This window comes from Homo sapiens, chromosome 4 (genome assembly GCF_000001405.40).
Source record: "Homo sapiens chromosome 4, GRCh38.p14 Primary Assembly".
NCBI lineage: Eukaryota > Metazoa > Chordata > Mammalia > Primates > Hominidae > Homo > Homo sapiens.
This window is the reverse complement of record NC_000004.12, coordinates 62,067,174-62,088,130: the sequence shown is the minus strand read 5'-3', so window position 1 is coordinate 62,088,130 and position 20,957 is coordinate 62,067,174. Positions and strand designations below refer to the sequence as shown.

Sequence of the window (20,957 nt, the reverse complement as noted above, 5' to 3'; positions counted from 1 at the left end):
GTAGGGACATAATTGCTGAATAGCATTCTAATACTCTGGGGACACCAGAGCTTTAGCTCATTTAGTCAAATAAATTTTATTATATGCATAGACAGTTTCTATTTTCTCTCTAAAGGATGGTCTTTACAGCACCTGTTTTTCTGTAACAGTCACATCAGGATTTATTTGTAGCACAATATGCTTAGTTACAATAGTCTTGAGAGTTATAATCCTTTTAAGCACTCCCTTCACTTGAAAGCATTTTCAAACACTTTGGGCATGTGACTACATAAGCCCCAAGTGTGATTTAATCCTCAGTATTGTGGTTTGATCTTGAAGCTGATACTCCTCTGAGAAAATTTAAAGTATATGTTGATTTTCTGTGTTGTTATTTATCTGAGATAACAGGAAATGAAAAATGTCAGCTACCAAACTATAGTTTACCAAAATTATGCAACTGCTTTAATGTGAAACCTATATACATAAATAAGGATAGAGTTCTTTTTTTATAATTAAATTCCACAATTCCAAAATAAATCCAGACTTTTAAATCTAGCAAATCTTCAATCAAGCATTCACTTGAACCTTTTTTAACTTGATAAAATTTAATCTTATCTGTAATTAAATCACAATTAGGTTTTAATTGTTCTAATTAAAGATTCGTATCATTTTCTTATGATAGTCTCCTCTGTAACTTGTTTTAAATTAAATCTACTGGAAATAACAAGTAATTCTTCTGATATATATCCAAGTCACTCATCTCAGATTTGGAACATTTCAAACTATTTTTTTAATGAGACCACTCAATAGGTTTTTATTTTTGTCTAGGTTTTAATATTTCTGGAAATGCTTCAAGAGAAAAATCAAATTTTAGCAGCACTTCTTCTTTTTGTTTACTTATTAAACCTCAGACAACTTAGAATAAAACTGAGAATCCCAACAAATCAAACACAACTCTATATACAGATGGATCATTGAGCAGAAGAGGCAGAATTGTAATTGCTCTTAACTTCTGCATTCTTTTGGTAGTTGGAAATCCTATGGCATTATACAAGGAATTGTATCTTCTCCTTGACTCAAAGAATGTGCATCCCCCAGTGTATATTGCATACATACTCCTCTTAGAGTCTCTGTGAAATTGGAAAAGAAAAAATTCTATGATTCCTTTTTGTCTGCTAGAATTGTGTGTATATATACACACACATACACAGCACTCATCCTACACTGCTTAAGTGTTGCTCCTGGGGAATGAACCCCCAGTGCTTTTGGCTTACCCCAGACATGAGTCTGAAGCCCTCGGGCAAAAAGACTCAGAAGCTGGAGACTGGAAGTCACTGAGATGATGGAAAATAAACCCCAAAACATGTTTGGTCCTAGATTTATCTTCTCCTACTTCAAAGCACACTGCGTGTCCAAATATTGTGGTCTAGTAGAAGTTACTCTGAGTTAAGAGATAAGATAGTTGGGTCTTAGTTCTGATTCTGCTGTGTGGGTAAGCCAGGTCCTCCATTTCCCTGGGCCTGTTGTCCCACAGTTCTGGAGGCTGGGAAGTCCTAGGTCAAGGAGACTATAATCTGGTGAGGGCCTTCTTTTTGTCTTTCAGACTGTCACATTTATCCTTCTTTGCTGCTGTTGGTGACTCTGCTCCACAGAGAACAATCTTCCCTTCTCATCCCTGTTGTGAATATATATATAAAAATATTTTTTTTTCACTTCTTTCTTTTCCGATAGCCTAGTGTGTTTGTGTTTGTGTGTGTGTGTGTGTGTGTGTGTGTGTGTGTGTTGTGTGATAAGATCAGTAGTCCATATTCAAATAAGATGCTTAGGCGCAAAGTACGCCTTGGGGAAAGTTCCCCCAGTTTTATCTGAAAGATTGTTTCAAACTGAAAGAAGAATCCTTTTGAGTGTAACAGTTCTTTTATTTAGATGTGTATATTGTGGTGGTGTGTATCCCTCAGCTATAAGCCTTCGGACTTGGTGAGAGTAAAAGCCTTTCTGGATATGTCTTGCTAATCCCGGATTAAACCTAATAGCATTTTTATTTCTATCCTATTTTGAGAAAGAGTTTTCATCAAAACAAATTTAATTATCTTTTCAAGGACATATAAGTGTTTAGAAAAAGTAGTATTTCTGTATTTGAAAATTTCAAATTTACAGAGTGAAATTCAATGCTTTGTTATGAAAATGAGAAGAGTAAATAGAAGAACTAAACTTTTTCTGATTTCCTAATGTTTACAATCAAGACCTATTAAGGATAGCACAGAAATTAATCGCAACCAATAGAAATGTGCAGCTTTGGAACATTGATTGAATTGTGACTTTAACTTTTGCTTTTTATTAGCATTACACTGATGAAATGGAAATGGAATTGAGTAAAGATAAACAGTGAACTCAGTCAGATATGAAGCACGATTTAGATATGAAATAATGAAGTTCATAAAGTTCATGTCTCACATAGACTTGGCAAGCTACAGTATTGTAAGAACTGATGCCAATACCAGTGTATCTGGTCAGCTTCCCCCTCATACCAGCTTCTAGTAAGACTTTGCTGTTCTAGTCAAAGATATCCTCAGTAGCCTAGGGTTGACCAATCATGGTACCCAATCCTTTGGGCAAAACTTGTCCAGGGAAAGGTGAAAGAATCACGCATGGTGAATCTGAATCCTTCCTGGCAGCTTTCTAACCAGTTTCAGGGAAGAGACCTTTCATAGTCTCATGGAGCCATTTGATTGAAATTCCAAGCTGCTTTCAAACATGCCTCTGTCTATGAAAAGAGGCTGTCCTGCTGCAACAATGATAGGTTACAATCCTTAAGTATTTATTATGTGTCAGGCACTATTCTAAACACTTTAGTAACTCATGCTTTTAACTCTATTACCCAGCAGACCTTTGTAGTAGATTTTATTATTTTCCCAATTTTACAGAGTAGGGAGCTGGAGGCAGACAGGAATTTGCTCAAAATCACAAAACTAGAAAATGGAGGAAGCAGGCTTTTAACTCAGGCAGTCTAAACTCAAAGTCTGGACACTCAGCCACCATAAAATTGTGCCTTTCAGTAGAAAAAAAAATCAAGTTATTACATAGGGAGAAACAGAAATAAGACACAGAAAAAGTCTGTAGTGTGTTTATTGTCCTGGTTCCCAACCAGCTCTGGCACCAGCCAAAATCATCCCTGATGAGGTGAATCAATAAATTCCACTAATTCCATTAAAAGTACTTTTAATTCTATTAAAGCATTGGTTCTTTATTTGTTTACTTTAAGTAAATGTGAATTATGGCTCTATTATTTAAAACCAAAGTCTCCTGAAAAATACCTAGTAAGAAAGGAGAAACTAGACCACATATGAAACAGATACATCATGGTAGGAGGGTTTAGCAAGGTAAATAGAAAAAAATAACATAGGAAAATGTGCTGATTAGGAAACCCTGATCAATAATTAGCTCCACCATGAATAAGGTATGGTCTTGAAACATCAGATGTCCTCTGTAGTTCTCAGTTTACCGTCTATAAAGGAATTGGATTAAATGGTTTCAAGAGTTGTTTCAGGTCTTCAGCTCTGTGAATTTACATTATGCACAGAAAAGACAAATAGCTTAGAGTGATAGGTGGAGAAGCCCAGAGAGATGAACGAAAATGGCTAGAATAAAATCCAGCTGAGGGCTGAAGCAAACTGGGGCTGGGACTACTGAGAGACAGAAGGGAGACAGGAAAGAGCTAGTTGATAAGTAAATCTCTAGACCAAGTGAGACAAGGCGCTGCTGATTTATGGAACAAAGAAACATTAGATAAAATATAAATGACTTTTATGCAACATAGAAACAAAAAGAGAAAAAGACGAAGGCTAAGATTAAACATAAAATGAAGACGAGAGTAAAATTGATAGGTAGGAAAAGAGAAAACAGATGCTGTATTGCAATGAGATTGAATACACCTTAGTCCAAATCTTAAGGGAGACTGGTTAGGGATGCGGCCAGATGCAAGTGATGATTGGATAAAGAAGAAAGCTCAAGTATTTACCTCTGTGAAAAGTAATGGAAAAGAAAATCATTCTAAACTTCACTTTATGTAAGTAATATAAATTAAGCATCTGGAACAAGCAGAATACATGATATAAATAATTTTTCTGCTCTCTTTAGAAAATATTATCTATCATTACATAACCAAAGTAGCTATCATCAAAAAAAGAATAGGGCTCCAAACTCTTCTAAAATATGTGTGTCAGTTATTTGTGTTAACAACTTGTATATCAGAGATGTCATGTAAATTGCACATGAGTTGATCATTTTCACCTGTGGTTCTTTTCCCTGTCATAGCAAACATAAAAAATCCATTAAGGCATTATTTATGTCTTTCTTACTAATAATACTGTAGAAAACGTTTGAGGACAGTGCTCCAAACAGACATTACCAGTTGATCAGGGGTTGTCACTAGAGTCAAAAATGATTTGCCATCCCATCACATTATCCACCAAAGTTATGTGTTATTTGGTTTAGGCAATTTAGATGTATAATTCTATGTGTTATTCCAAAAATTGAGGGAGAATACTGGTGGGTGTGAGAATGAAACAGAGGTGATTTTTCTATCTAATGAATTGTTCTTATCTTCCATGCAGTCCTCCATACTATTCCTGTCTAGAGAACCTTTTAGAAATCACTATCAATTATTTACTAAAACTTAAAAAGGAGAATGTGAATTGGGTGGCCCACAAAAGCTAAATACAACAGTTAAAGTCATATTGAAGAAACAATAATTATTGTTTATTATGAATAAAAAATGACAATCCTTCAGCTTATAGCTTTATTCTATGGAATTATAATCAACTCAGTTTTACAAAGAGTAGGTTTTTGATAGTTGTCACACTGTGCTAAATGCCATGTAGACATACGGTCTAATGATTGTTAAATTTTCCAGAAAAACTTGAAGATGCTTTTGTTCCATGTAAATAGTTCCTGATATGTGTCTGTGATTCTGCCTGATTTAAAATTAATAACTGACCTCTTTCTACCGTGATAATATTCATAATCCCCCCAAATGATGATAGAAACACAGATATTTTTAATAAGAATATTTATTCTGTGAATTAAATCATGAAAAAGATGATTTAATAAGCCAGTTGATTTGTACTTGAATAATATACTATCCATAAATCATATTTAGGCAATTAGCTGCATTCTTCTGGGGACAAGAAATTTTCTATTTTGAATTTCCTTATTCATCTTTCTTTCTTGCTTTAAAAAGTAAGAAATATTTAAAATGTTGTTTTTAAATGTTTTAAGAATATTTAAACATGATTAATGCAAATACCCAATATGTATTAAGCAATTAACTCTGTGATTCTCAGCCCCAACTGCACATCGAATCATTGGTAAAATCTAATCACATTAGAATTTACTTACACCTGAGAACCACCCCCAGATATTTTGATTTAATTAGTGTGGTGTGAGGCCTGGCCTTTTTTTTTTTTTTTTTTTTTTTTTTTAATGTGCTCTAGTGATTCTAATGCAGGGAAGGCTGGGAAAATACAAAACTAACTACTCTATTGACCTTCATAATATTTGAAAATAGCAAGATAAGTTTAATCAAGGTCTTTTCAAAATAAGTGACTAAAATGTAACACTGAATTATTGTATTCTTCATAGGGTCAGTAATTAGTCTCGACTCTGTCTTCTTGGATATTATTCCAATTTTAAAAACCAAATAGTATCATTATTTATTTTTAATCTTTTAGGCAATCTACGTACACATAGGTTACAACTGCAAAAAAATTCTATTAATTAAATAATTTTAGATTATAGAGACAAAGCCTAATAAATCATGAAAATTTGTTAAATGAAAATTTGATCTAAAGACTAAGTTAGGGCTGAAGAACTACCTATTGGGTACTCTGCTCATTACCTGGGTCATGGGACCATTCTTACCCCAAACCTCAGCATCACAAAGTCTGCCCATGTAACAAGTCTGCATATGTAACCCCCTGAATCTAAAATAAAAGTTGAAAGTATAAAAAAAAAGTTTTTATGCATTTTTCCAGTTTGTCTATTTCTTCTTACTGTGTTATTCTGCATTAATGGAAATTAATGGAATTCTGTTTTCTTCAGTTACAATGGAATGATAGAATTAACAATGTGCTAAAGACTTTCTAAGATGTGAGAAATTACCAGCTTTAAGAGGCATAAAGGGTAAGACAAGGGGAATTATATTTGAGTATACCTTATCTTTTCTTCCCAATATATAAAATTCATTGTTAATTTCTGGAATATGGGCTTGATTGGTGGAATTAAGGCTGTGTACTAAATATCAAATACAAATTCTTTACATCTTATGGTAAGCAAAGCATGAATATCAAAATCAAAATAAAATATTTTAGTGAAATTTTTTTCCCAATTGGAAACATTAAGAGAATTAATATCTTGGAAATTCAGTATGAGTCTTGCTTTCAAATAATTTTGATTATCTGAAAGACCATGTTCATTATAAGAGTTATCTAATTCATAATTACACATTTTTGTTTAATACAATGATGTGTTTTGACATTAATACACTTAACACACAATCACCGATCTGGACAGGATCTTTTATTTCAATGTATACATAAAATCTTCAGAGCAGTTAACATCCTTGAAACTTTTGGATAAAACATTTATATTTTCTACTCCCGTTAATGGCAGTAAATCCTGAATAAAGTGTCTCAGAGGTAAATAGAGAAGACAAGTTCACTTTTATCTTATGAGATATTTTAATCAAAGAAGATTATTTTCTAGCAATAAACTTTTTAGTATTATAATGAAACAAAAATTATAACTGATTTTTTTAAAGTATTTATAAAACTCAAAATGTTATTGCTTCCTGGACATTCTTTAATTTTTCACTTTTTGTCATATGTACCTATGTGATTATTCTACACTTTACACAAAGATCAGCAAGTATCTCCAGTTTCAACAGTCAGATTGTTTCACATGCTAAAAACGTTAGTTATCTCTAATAGCTATTTCCACCGTGTCTTAGATAAGTGTTTATGAGGAAAATAACACTTAGGTAAAATCTTTTTTCATAATAAGCAATTACTTCATGTATATGTGTATATTTTACATATATATGCAATTATATATATGCAGTTACACACAGACATACGCATAAACACATAAGACACACAGACACACACATATATACACATATATACATACACACATATGTATGTGTGTGTGTGTGTGTGTATCGTTTTCCCATGACATTTTTCACCTAACACGCTGGACTAAAAGAGCCGTGGCTTTAGCTTCAGTACTGGTGTAACCATTACCAGCTTTGAGAATATGCTGTATTTATTTCCAAAAATCAAAACATATATATCTTTTGGTAAAATTGAGCAACATCTAGACATGTCTGTCTCCTTTCCTGTAATATATTCCCTAGTACCTAAAAATAACCACTTAGAGGGAATAATAAACCTGATCACAGGCATATGGAAGACATGGAGAAAGCCCAAGTGGCCTGATACTAGCTGGAAGAGCCACAGAGGCATCACTGAGCACTTGCTTCAAATGCACAACTTCAGACCCCACACTCCCAAAGACTGACAAAAACCCAAATTTGCATTTTAACAAGATTTTCATTTCATTGATTTGCGGGTATCTCTGCAGGTATTTGCAGATATTTGCAGGTGGTCTCCTTTTCCCTCCAGTTGCTGCAGCCAGATAGATACTTGATATTAGAAGATAGGAAGCTATATTAAAATATAGAGATTCTACGGTTATGGCAGAATTCTTAGGGCAGTCTTCGTCTCAATTTTTCTTTCTCCACCTAAAGATTAGGAGCATAAATTTAGTGGGGATACTTTAAAAATATTATTTTATCATGAGTTATAAAGCCAATTAATACCTGTATTGGAGGAGTCACACCTCCAGTATTTCATGAACATCAAATATTCCGAAAAAAAACTCAATAGTAACAAGAATATTTTGAGGGGTGTTTCACAAACTGTGTTTCATGGATCAACAGGTTTGCAATGTATTGCTCTTCAGATTCCTTGAGGATTTCAGGTGCAAACAGTCTTAGTAAACAGCACAATATATACTCCTCTAGGAGTTTTGCAGTGCAGTCTCTGAAATCCTACAGTTTAAAAATCTGTGTTGTGTTTTGTTTCACATCTCCCAAATGTATTTAAACTTAGAACCATCTTTTTTTTTTTTTTTTTTTTTTGAGACGGAGTTTCGCTCTAGTTGCCCAAGCTGGAGTGCAGTGCCATCTCTTTTTATCAGGTGCAAACTGCTGAATATAGACTAAAAAATGATGTTATCACATTGGAAATACAGTTGTTAAAACTGTTGTGTAAAGATTAAATTTTGAAAAATTGTGTACGTAAACTTCTAATTATCATACATGCCATAACAATCGAATGAGCCAGCCATACATATTAAGGTGGAACTTTAACTAGAATTTGAATTAAGAAACAGATTACTACTATCCAACCATGATTAGGGGTGAGAGGACTAATAGAATCAACAAGACACCAGCAAAATTTACTTAGTATTAACCCAGAATCCATTTAAGAATTTTCTGGATGAGAATTTTATGTGTGCCTCATACGCTATGTATATATGTATGTTACAGACAAAATGCTGTATTTAGATATTCGGAGATGAGAAACCCTATTCTTAGAGAAGTTAATTTGCTGAAACTTACAGAATAAGTGACAGAACCAGAATTCAAAAGTCAGTCCTCTCTTCTCCCTCAATAGATAGATAAAGTAGAAATAGCTATATTGATCTCTTTCTTTCTCTCTCTTTATATGTACATATTATATTTATAGATGTATTAAATACCTTATAAAGTGGGTTCACATAAATTTTAGTTCCATGTTATTGCAACATTTCCTTGAATGCCTGTTTCCTCCCCTTAATTAAATGAAAAGGGTTTGCTTCATTTCTTTTCAACTAATCATTTAGTTAATGCAGTATAAAATGATTAATAAATAAATAGACTGAGAGATTTTGGTTCAAAATACAGTAGCTCTGTGACTGTGAGATCTGAATTTCAGTTTCCTCCATAAAAGGAGTACACAGTAATATGTTCCATTTTGTCATATTATTGGGAAGATCAAATGAGGCTACGTAAAGTGCCAGGCATACACTAGGCACTCAGGAGCTGCTGATTCTCTTCCATTTCCTTTGCAGAATATTTCTTATGGAAATGCATTTTCAATATTATAAAAAAGTGGCTTCCGAATTCGACTTATCCAGCTGATATTTGTGCTCATTCAACCAACACTCAGAGTTAGTAAGCTAAATAATCAGAATCCGTGACACTACAGAATAATGATTATATGACATCTATCTTTGTGATCCAAAATATTTACTAATATATATACTACTTTTTATTCAAAAGAAGAATGACATGTCACAATGCATAGCTCTAAACTCTTATTTGGACCAGAGGTTCGTTGATGACTGACTGTCCTACTCCCTAGTTTGAGATGAGGAAAAATAAGACCAGGCAGTAGATATAAGACTAGATTTGATTATATCTCACTAATAGCAAATTTTAAGGTCAAACAGTAAATTCTTAATTTAACTTTCTATTTTTCTGGAAAAGAAAAATTGCCTTATAGATGCCTCTAGTGGTGGCAGTTCTCTGAAAACAAAGGTTAAAAAGGTTTTACATTATATTTCCAATGCATGAAGGGGAGGGTGGCAGGGTGTGAGGTAGTGGACATAGGAAATATATTAGGAGCCCATGTTTCAGTTATTATCCTGAAATTTGAAACACTATCCCAAAATCAAAGTTTTGGTAATACCATATAATAACAGTAACTACATCACTTCTTGTTTACTGATATTTTTATTGAGGTTTGTAGCTCATGACTTTACATGTGATTGTACAGAGCATTTAAGGAAAAAAAAAGGATGTAAAGGTTGTACAAGGGAAATATCCAATAGCTTGAAATCTGGTAGGTGTATATGAAAAGAATAATGCCATGTGTAAATATATGAGAATCCTAAGCGACCAAAGCCACAATAGCTATATTCTTGTTTCTAAAAAGTGACTTTCTTATCAACAAGGAATAACACAATTAGTTGTTAGTTTTAAAAATAAACTATTGTTTTTTAGAAAGACATATTTTGAATTAGATTTAATGCTTGGTGAGGGGGAAAACAGTATGGAAAAAGTTCCAAGTTATCCATCCACTTCCAATGCATTTGCAGGAATTAAATGAAGGCAAATCAACCTGACTCTACAAATCTTGATTTTCTAGTTCACAGGCAAAGGTCAGCATTAAAATATACAAACCAGTGATACTTTATAAATGAACACATTCTGATTGTCTATAGTTGTTTCAAGACATATCAGCTTTTATTACTTAGGGTGATGAAGGAAATCTTTATTCTCAAATGAGTCATGAAAACCAAATTTAAATGTTTTTTTCTCATTTTTATTGATTCAAAATGTCATTCAATATGTAAACCAGTTTGACAACTTGAAATTCAGGGCATTAAAAAATACTCCAGAGGACTAGGCACTAATTAGCCTAAGAATGCACTCTGTCCTAGTCACTGTATCCTGAGTTCCAACCCCAAAGACCTCTACCTACTGTTAAAGCATTGAAGATACTGACTTAACTTTGTCAAACATCTTTTGAGAGCAATCAATATATTTCATTTTGAAGTCAGGATCATTTTGCCTGTTTTACATTCAGAAGAAACAGAGGAATTTTTAAATTTTAAAAAGCTATTTTAGTTCTCGGCTTTAAACATATTTCCTTGCCAATGTAGCAAGAAATTTTGTAGTCTTGGATCATTGAGACAAACTTAACTCCTTTAAGATTTAAAATCCTCTGATTTTGGACTAATTGTAAATCTTTTGTAACCTTGTCTGTAGATCAAAGAGTGGAGCATCATCATTTAAAAATTATTCAATCTGAATGGCAATGTTTAAATTAAATAGTTAGAAGTCTGCTTTACTTTCCTCTTCTTTCAAACGCTTTCCTTTAGTATTCTAGAATGAAAGGCGCATTTGGAATACTTTTAGATGCATTTGGATTATGGAGTACTTTGATAACCCACCATGTACAACTGTATGTAGAATTTTATGAATTGACTATAATAATTAAAGGCAGAGAACTTGAGAGTAATATTTGGAGCAGAGTGGTTATTTGTTCAGTCTCAATGTAATATTCATATATATAATAATAAATTATTCTATAGTATGAATATTTCTTGGTTATGAATTATTTTGTATAATGTACATAATTCTAATATAATATTAATTTCATATGTATTAGAAAGATTCATAATAGAGCTTTAAAAGGTACAAAGCTACTAAAAGCATTAACTCTGTTGGTGTTCAATAGAGCCAGCAGATTAGAGAGTGAAGATGAATTCAGACAAAATACTTATATTTAAGAAACATTTATAAAATATTGATGTTTCCTTGAGACAAGGTATAGCTAGATACGAAATATCTCAAGAGTGTTTAAAGTATTTAATGTTTCCCGTGGAATTAGCAGAATGAAATCAGAATATAGGAAACTCCCATTTTACTTTTCGGAATACATCTGTAACATTTGGTGTAGTGTATAAGATTTTTATCACTACAAATGACTTCATTATTCTTTCCTGGAAAACTTTTCTCTGTAACTCTAGTTTAGGTCCTGTCACCTTACCATAAGTTTGCTAACTTGTTTGGTTTCTGCTCTTCCGTTGTTCATATTGTGGTTGAAGAGACTTGTTTATCCCAATAGAGATTTGTTCATGTATAGTCTTTCTTGATTTCTTCACATAAATCAAAGTTCTTTCACAAGCCTTCCTAAAAATTAGTTTGCATTTACCTTTGAAATACTGTAACGGGACACAAATTATCAAATGAGAACAATGCTTTTGACATACTATTAAGAGAAAAAGAAACATCAAAACTTAGCTGAAATCAAGACATTTGAATAGTAACTTATAGGTGCTAGATGTGAAAGAAGTGCTGACTTTTAAATTTTTTTTTAAATAAAGAAGGAATAGCAATATCTTTCAATGAGATTATGCGAAACTATATTAACTACCTGTTTTATTGCAGAAATCACAAAGTTTTAAATATCGTAAACAAGCTACTTCTTCTGCAGGCTGTAAATAAATGGAATCAGAGTGTGTATGTGTACAGGTGAAAGTTTCCCTTTTAAACCAAAGAGAGTGTAATCAGTGTTAATTAGTAAATAGGAAAGTTTCTTCTTATGGCCTAATCAGGAAAGAAGCAACTACCAACACATTTAAGTTCTGCTAGCCTACAAATGAAAATTTAATTGTTTAATATTTTTAAGATGTTATAAAGAACATATTTGCTGATTGCAAAGTTAAATTTAATGTTGGGATCCATTGAATATATTTTATGAGCTCAGAAAAGCTTCTTATGTAAAATCCATTCGCACAAAAATGCTTCCATAAGCTATTGTGCAATGTTGCTGCTTTGCTTTTGTGCCATCTTCGTAATTTAATGATGTGCAGAAATCTAATATAAGCTATATTGAAAACGTTACTTAGAAATGCATAGTAATTGTTTATGTGGTAAGTTAAAATTATGAATTACTAAAAATGAACTAATTAAATTTTAACACCTTGGTCTACAATGTACTGGGAACTTCATATATATTGTTATCTCAAAAATTTTCTTAGAGAAGAAAGGATATTCATGCCAATATCTTCAGATTTGCTCAAAACTAAATAGTTGGACTTTGGGTTTTTGTTTTTTACACTCTCTAAATCTGAATTGACATGCATTATACTTCTGTAGTGTTGGTTTTTTTCCCTCTGCAATACATCACAGGCCAAGTGCTGTGGCTCAAACCTGTGATCATGGCTACGCAGAAGGCTGAGACAGCAGGATCACTTGAGCCCAAGAGTCTGAGGCTGCAGTGAGCTGGGATTGTGCCACTGCCCTTCAGTCTTTGTGACAGAGCAAGACCCCATCTCTTTAAAACCACAACAAAAAAATCCAAGCAGTAGCACTTCGGTACAGTACTGATAGACAACTTCTAAAAACTAATTGTTTTTTCATTATTAGGGGATGATATAGATTAGTCTGGAGTTGATCTTTAGAAAACTTGTAAACTATTTTTCCTCTCCCTTTTGATCTTTACAGTAATGTAGAAAGTCAGTCGAAATTTTTAATGTCATTCCTTAAAAAAAGCAAGCTAGTCAATAACATTTCAACATGTGTTGGGGGTCCAGGGAAGCTGAAGACAATGCCTAAAATTAAATATGTGGGTCCTTTATAAATGTTACTAATTCCCTTATATGCTTATATCTATTATGAAAAGTTTTGTCATACCAATTAAGTTAATACTAATAAGAATCTTAAACCTAGATCTTAAAGATCCTTTCCTTAATATGTCAACATTTTTAGTTATGATGGATATTTTAAAATACAGATGATAAACTACATCTTAATTTAGAGTCAATGTGAATTTTTTTTACAGGAAGTTAAGGATATTTCCCTTACGTGCTTTTTGTTAGATATTTTCCTGATTATTGTTACTTCAAGATAATTGTTCTGTCAGTTCATTTTTGTTATTACAATTATTTTAGCACAGTAATTTATTATTCAACTTCAGTGTGTTTAATTATAATATAGTGGAAACAAGAAGGGACGCCCATAAAATTTAATTCCAACCAATTTCTCCTTCACAAAATTTGGACTTTGCCGCAAATATTTATCAGTTAGGAGCAGAGGCTGTGCAACAATCCATCAGTTTCAGAATTAACTAAACATGAGGTCCATTAGCTAGTGTCCCTGATAAAGTGTCATGTGAACTAGATTTCAAAGAGGAAAAACAACCAAGTCTAAAAATGTGACAAAAATATTATTTGACAAGAAAGTAATCATTTGTTTGTTTCGGTGGCATAAGTTTTACTTCTAGCTGGCTAAATAAGCTGTATTATAGCGGTATACTACATCTGTTTGACGGAAATTTACTTCTTACTGGAAATTCAGATGAACACATAAAAATATACAGATAAGCAGGTCATAAATGTCTCAGGATCTTAAAAAATTGAGTCACAAAAGGTGGTAGAAAAAAGAACAATTAAAAAATCATTAATTAATTCATCAATAGCTCTATAAGAAAATGTATATGAAGAAAAAGATTCAAGTTCAGGAATTCAACCCTTGCTAGTGTAAACAGGACAAAATGAATATGTTAGATATATGCAAATTTCTATTGAAATGTATGTAAAATTAGCTCCTTTATCCATTTTTTTTAATTACGGTTACATAATACTTGCAGGGGAAATTTCTCTCTGTTATAATCTTTGGGATCTTAAGTCTCTCTGAAAGCATGCCATTTATGATGTATAGAGTTCAAAAATCTCACTCTTTTTTCTTGATGCAAGAGCTTGGTAGTAACTTTATATGCTGAATGTTCTTCTGCACCAGTTTGTGTATTCAAGTGATCTTTCTTCAGTTTGGTCTATGTAGAGCTTGAGAAGCTACCTGCTTCAAATTTCCATATAGAAACACAAAAATAATGGGCAGGGAGGTAGCAATGTCAGAAAATCAGCAAGCTGAATTGAGGTAGTTTCCCCATTTTTCTGTGAAACCAGCTTCTTACTGATAGAGTTGCTTTCATGTAGGTTACTGTTTGACAAAACAAGCATAAGTGCTCATAATCCACAGACCACATTTGTGTTTCTGAAGTTACCATAAACACATCTAAAAAGGATTCTTTTATTGCCAAATGTATTCTATGTATCGGGTGGGTTAAAAGCCTTGGACGTGCTAATATTGCCATAGTGTGGTGTGAGAAAACCTAATTATCATTAACGCTTGTGATTCTCCTCTAACATAAAATCTGTAGACTTAAAAAATATTCATGCCAATTCACTAAAAAAGAATGAGACATAAAATATTTTGAGGTGATGTGAAGGTTATGATGCACTCTGGCTCAGCAGAAATTTTTTTGTCATGTATTTATAAACTATATACAGATTATTGGCCATTCTCTAAACTTGATTTAAGATAGTCATTTATAGATGGATAGTGTTTAGATTTTTGAAAAAGGAAACCCCGAGATAAAACACACTACAGGAGAAATTATAATTTGGCAGGTTCCTTTTAGCTTTGCCCTAACAGGGGATCTGTACTTGGACACTGCTATAAAGGATCTGCAGTAATGAGAGATCTAGAAAGTTTCTTTGAAAGAACTTCTTTATCTTTTCCGATTTCCCTCATATATAGAATAAGAAAAAAACACAATAAAAGTCTTATTATATCTTTATAAAATGAATATTCTCTTTGCAGCTTTTAGCAAATTGAGGGAATTTGAATTTCTAACATCAAAATGCAATGTACAAAGGAGGAAAAAATATGACTCACCCAGCCCCCAAATTTCATATTTATATCTCTGATTGAATCTGGTTTTAAAGGTAAGCATAGTGACTGCAGCTGGTTTATAGATAAGCAAATAGTAACATATATGTTAACCTGCTCAACATTAAGTTATGCATCTGATTTCATCCAAAATAAACATGCCCATTCCATTTTTCTGGTTTACTTTGTCTGCAAACCTGTATGATTTTGTGCTTAGCTTATTCATCTAGGCAGATTGATTTCTTTTGCATGGCTCATTTGGGCCACAGAGGATTAGCAAAGTTTATGTATTGAAAACAGAAAGAAAGAAAGGCGAGAAAAATAAAAAGACTGATTAATCATATAGTACATACATCAATACAATATCTTCTAAATCTCAATCAGTTGTTTATTGGTTGGCAAACAAGTTTCACTTTTACAACAAATATTAGTAATGAGGTCATCCAACTTTGAGACCATACAAAATGGATCATAAATTAAAAAAAAATTATATGTGCTGCTAATTTACCTTTTGTATTCCTACATTACTCAAAATCCTGTCAAATAAATAAATTTTCCTGTTAATAAACAGAAGACTTTTTTTTAAAAAAATCACTTCAAAATAATTTGACCTTCCAATGCTTACGAGGGAGTGAATTTCCTCTAAAAAGTGGTAGTGCAGGTGCCCACTTGTTGATCAGACTGAGCATTCAGCACTTTAATGCCTATGGAAAACCGTTTTTCACATGCAGAAGCCCCACTAGTTCTATAGACACCTTTTGACTTCTAGAATCATAGCTAGTGTCCTGGTGATGAACTGCTTGCCAAATATGCTTTGCATTACAACAGACGTGCCCTGTAAACATAAAAGTTTGTCCTGCTCTAATTTGCAAAAAACACTGTTGGAAATATTCTGACTGCATAAAGATATATAGTGAGGGAAGGAAGTCTAATTTTATTTATTTTGTTTTTTTGTAAAAAATAATTTGTTTGCATTACTAGAAAATGATTCTTATAAAGTGATAGTTCCATTTATTTATTTTTTGCCAGGCGAAATTTTAAAGGAATAAAAGGCAAAAAAGAAAAAAAGAAAATGAAGAAAGAGAAGAAAGGAAGGAAACTTTGCTCTCTTACTGGTAGACAAACTTGCAAGACCAGCACAAAAGAAAAAGAAAATTTCTTTTTTTTTTTTCTACTACATTAACAGGACTCAAATTCTGGAGGAACAGAAAGCAGACTATATGTGCAATGCTAGTATCTGTACATTACATAGAAATTGCTCAACTTCTTTTTCTGCCATTAGTTTTATCATCAGTTAATACAGCAAATCATAAAATATGCATTTAGCATATAATTCTAGAATTCCCCTCCATTTCATTATTAATTTTGTTGTTTTATTTTGTTTTCCACAGCTATTCCAGCTGTGGTGAATTCAGGTTGTGAGTGACCAAAAACCCTATGTGATACAGTTTTGCTTTGCTCTTATGTTTGTTTGTGCAGCACTCCAATCTAGATGCAGCATTGTTACTAATTTCAGACAATTGTTCTGGCCTTTTAAAAAGCAGGTCCTTGTAATTTTAGTAACACAGCATCAGAGATGTTAAAACATACACAACATAATTCAACAAGGCCACAATGAGTGCCATTTTCTTCATATCTTGTTCATTAACATAATGAAGTCTCCATCTGAAGGGGAAAGGACAAGAAAGGATGGGGTACAGGGGAATTTTAGCAGTTATCTTTCTCCCCTGGGCTGACCTAAAAATCCCATTAAAAAAAAAAAAGTCTGAGAGTTTGTGTTTGTCTTTAGAGGACAGCATAAAGATTTAGGAGTACACACATTATTACCACTGCTTATATCAACTCAGAACAGTCAACAAGGTGTTAGCAGTTTTGTTGGTTCCAATTTCTGTGTCATCTTCTATAGACTAGTGACCAAATGAGCCGGTCCTTTTGAACTTCCCTCGGGAGGGGTCCCATCTTTGTTTGGAGGAACTATAAATCCATCACTGCTGCCGCGACCTAGCTGGTAGTAAGTATGCAGCTGATGGACGTGGTTTCTGGAGCCTAGGTTTGGCATGCTTTTGTAGTAAACATCTTCGGCATCACCACATTTGGCCGGTGGGGGTTCGGTCTGGGTGCTGGTGGTAACACTCTCTGTGGCGGCCACACCAGCCAGTGTCGGCATGCTGGTATAGAGAGAGTCTCTATGGGGTGACTGGAGATCTTCTGTGTGCTCGTTGGTTAGCAAAGGGAAAAAGCTCTCACTGTGGTCTTGGGGGATCCGCCTTCTGGTATAATGGTGTGGCTGGTGGTTCTCGGTGGAGTATACTCTTGGGGGCAGCAAAGGAGCATCAGATTCCTCATGAATGAGTTCCAGGCCCAAACTCTCCTCGTGGTTAAACGAGGTGGCATCATCCAGGACAATGGCATCATCTTCCCTTCCACTGCCAAGGTTATTCACCAGCTTGTTCATCAGATTCCTGTTCTGTTCACTGGAGCGCTCATGGTTGTTCAGGTAAGAAGGGATATAGTTGGAAGTGAGTTCCTTCAGAATCTTTTTCTCTAGGGCGGTCTCGTTATGGTTATAGCCACGGTCTATGATTTGCACACAGTTGCTCAGGTATTCGCCGCTGGCAATGCTGTAACTATTGCCATGGTTACCATTCAGTGGTAGAGTATCCATGACACTTGTATCCCTGGCATTGTTCAGAAGCCCCTCTGAAAAAGATTACAAGATACTATGACATTTATATCCAACAAGCCATAGAACACACACACAAACACAGAAGCAAAAACATTCATTGACTATGAAATATGTATAAATTGCTAGCATTTACTTAAGTATAAAATGTTTGGAAGGAAACAGAAAATACTATTAAATCTATATATGTGTATAATTGGACCAGTGATTGAAACCATATAAATGGGAAAATCATATTTAAAGTAGATCTTTAAAATAATTTTTAAAAACCTATAAATTATCAATTTGCAATTGCCACACAAACATTGGCTGACATTATTTGAAGTATATTTGGTTATAACTTGGACAAAATAACATAAAATTTTGGTGTAGTCATTCATAGCTTTCAATTTATACACATCAAAGTCAGTTAAATACTCCATTACCTTTAATTTTACAAATTGTCTTAGCATCAAAATAGGTATAATATTAACATAATTCATGTGTGGTACTTTGAATATACTGGTCAAAAGTAAAAGCAACAAGCAGTGTCTAATAAATTGATATTTAATTTTGTAAGATTAAAAATAATCCCTTCATACAAAACCACAAAAGGATTATGTTAAATTTCTCAGAATGATGAGGTCATGAAATAATGTTTAGTCAGATAAATGGCACATCAAAAGAATTTACACCGAGGAATTTTCGAAACAAAAGTATTTGGATTTACTTTCTAATTTTTTTTTCTGCTATAAGCATTTTGGCTGTTATTATATACCATCCCATCAGAGATTTTTTTAGGGTCATTAGGTAATACTACAAAAGAATGTGTAAAGACACAGGTATCTGGTGCCTAAAAACATTGTGTCAGTATTAATGTTACCATTATATAATGAGTGATGGATTTGTGTGCATGTTAAAGTTTGGGTTTCAAAAGGATAAACATTTTATTCTGGTAAGAAACAGCTGCAGTGAAATAAATCTGACCACATATTTCTTCAAGGTTTTTGCATTCCATTGAATGAACAGAAAAACAAGAATCTATAATAGCTTCATAAATCACTTCAAATGCAACCACAAAATGAAAAAACACATTTAAACAATATTGGTAAATAAGAAAGGGTGCTTATTTACAGAAATATTAATTGGAGAATTCTATTAAACTTCTTAATATATTGCTAACTTGTGAAAATATAGCATTCATTCTATATCTGTGATGCAATTATTTATCAAAACTCAACTAGTTCATTACTAGTTTAAATTACGTGATTCAAATATGCCAATTTTTATTTGGACTCCTGATGCATACTGTGTATTCAAGTAAGACAGTTTTCAAAATTAGCAATGCATAAATTGTATTAATAAGCAGCCATCACAGACATAGGGTGAAGCGATTTATTTTCATTTTATATCTTGTAGACAAATCCACAATGTTAGGAAAAAATAAAAGTAAATGCTTCTTAAAGGGCTGTATGTGATGGGTGATAGCTTTTGCAGAAGCTGCTATGATATGCTTGATGGCTATGGTTGGATGGCTGATGCATTGAAACACGTGTTTATTATTTCGGTTTGTCAATGCATTAGGTACGGGCTGAAAACAGCCATAGTAAAATAAAGTGGATATGTTGCACGTGACACATTTTTATGATGGAATGTACTAATAAAAATTAAAAGTTTATGAATTACTTAGCAAAAATAAATGCTTAATTTAAAAACAATTTAACTCACACAAACATTACATGAAACTTAACAACTATGTTGATTATGTGACAATAAAAGAATCAGACAACAAAAGCGTCTAATCTCTATTAACATATATTTATATAAGTCGATTCATAGGCTTTTTAGTTTTTAAATTGTGAGATGAACTGTTTTTAATAACTACATCATCTATATGTGATGCAATAAAAGTGAACTAAAAAAAATTACATTTGATATGCAATGTTTAGCTTTACTCCCATACTTGTCTCTCTGTAGGGCTCTAAACGACAGCATGAAGAAAAGGAAAGAAAAAACAACAAGTAAGCTTACAGCGACAGTAGAAGAAACATGAGTAAAAAGCAAATTGATGATATGCAGAAAAAAGAGTCAAAGGAAATAATTTCCACTGCCCCAAAATTCATGAGTCTGGGTTACATGATTTACCATAATTAAAAATACTGAAATGTTAGTCAGAAAATAAGAAATCCCCCTTAACACATGCTAATATAATGAGTCTTTAATAAGCGTTTCCACCATTTGTAAATTTCAAACAAATACACACTTAAGATCATCACATAAACCAAGGAGAGTAAAAATTTGAGGGCAGACCATGACTATTTTCACCAATATATTTCAATGTCACATATGTGTGTGTATGTTAGAGTATACGTGCTTCAAGGAATGTTATTTAATTTTAAATTTTTTCAGTAAAAGTATAAATAAAATCTGAAGCTTTTATACAGAGAGAAACCAGAATTGAAGACTTTCATAATTGTGTTCATTTTTTCCCGCCTTATGTATCTTCTCTTTTCCTGCACAAAAGTTATTTCTCTATTATACATATATGAATTTTTTGATCAGTTTTAAATAAAAACTGAGCAATATTGTCATTTTTGGAGCTCATATTCAAAGGTTGTGTAACTATGGAGGAAAAAAAGGTTACATTTATTTATTATTCTGAATACAGAAAATGTGAGAGGGGAAAAACGCAACCAACAATATTAGGTTTTCTTCTGGATTGTTGCACAATTGTATGCAATCAAACATTTTGAGAGTTGATCCTTTAAAAACAATCCTATCAAAATTATTTTTTTAAGGAAAAAAACCTCTTATTTTAGCCTGGTTAACAGAGTTGTTCTTGCTGATTTTGTCTACAAAAAGGGTAAAGTATCATAAAATAAAAACCAGCAAATTCACTGGGCCAGATCATTTCAAAGGGTTCTATCTTACTATAATTTAATGACAGTTTAAAGAGACAGTTTTGGTTCTTTA

General features: G+C 32.8%; 1 protein-coding gene and 1 long non-coding RNA gene across 58 annotated transcripts in view; one reads left to right on the top strand and one right to left on the bottom strand.

Moving 5' to 3' along the window:
• ADGRL3-AS1 (ADGRL3 antisense RNA 1) overlaps window positions 1–16,376 on the top strand; it is a 90,011-nt gene extending 73,635 nt beyond the window's left edge. The window contains exons 7-8 of the long non-coding RNA NR_110595.1: window positions 15,254–15,378; window positions 16,352–16,376. This is a non-coding gene — a long non-coding RNA (ADGRL3 antisense RNA 1). The remainder of the gene's footprint in view (window positions 1–15,253; window positions 15,379–16,351) is intronic.
• The window catches only part of ADGRL3 (adhesion G protein-coupled receptor L3), an 878,010-nt gene continuing 866,848 nt past the window's right edge, over window positions 9,796–20,957 (bottom strand). For 40 of the 57 annotated variants that reach the window (NM_001322402.3, NM_001387522.1, NM_001387523.1 and 37 more), the window contains one exon: window positions 9,796–18,022. In NM_001322402.3, the coding sequence (NP_001309331.1) occupies window positions 17,223–18,022 (800 nt within the window). In that variant the 3' untranslated portion in view covers window positions 9,796–17,222. Of the gene's footprint in view, window positions 18,023–19,913; window positions 19,966–20,957 lie in introns of all 57 variants that reach the window. The other 17 variants (NM_001322246.3, NM_001387548.1, NM_001387545.1 and 14 more) reach the window with 2 other exon arrangements.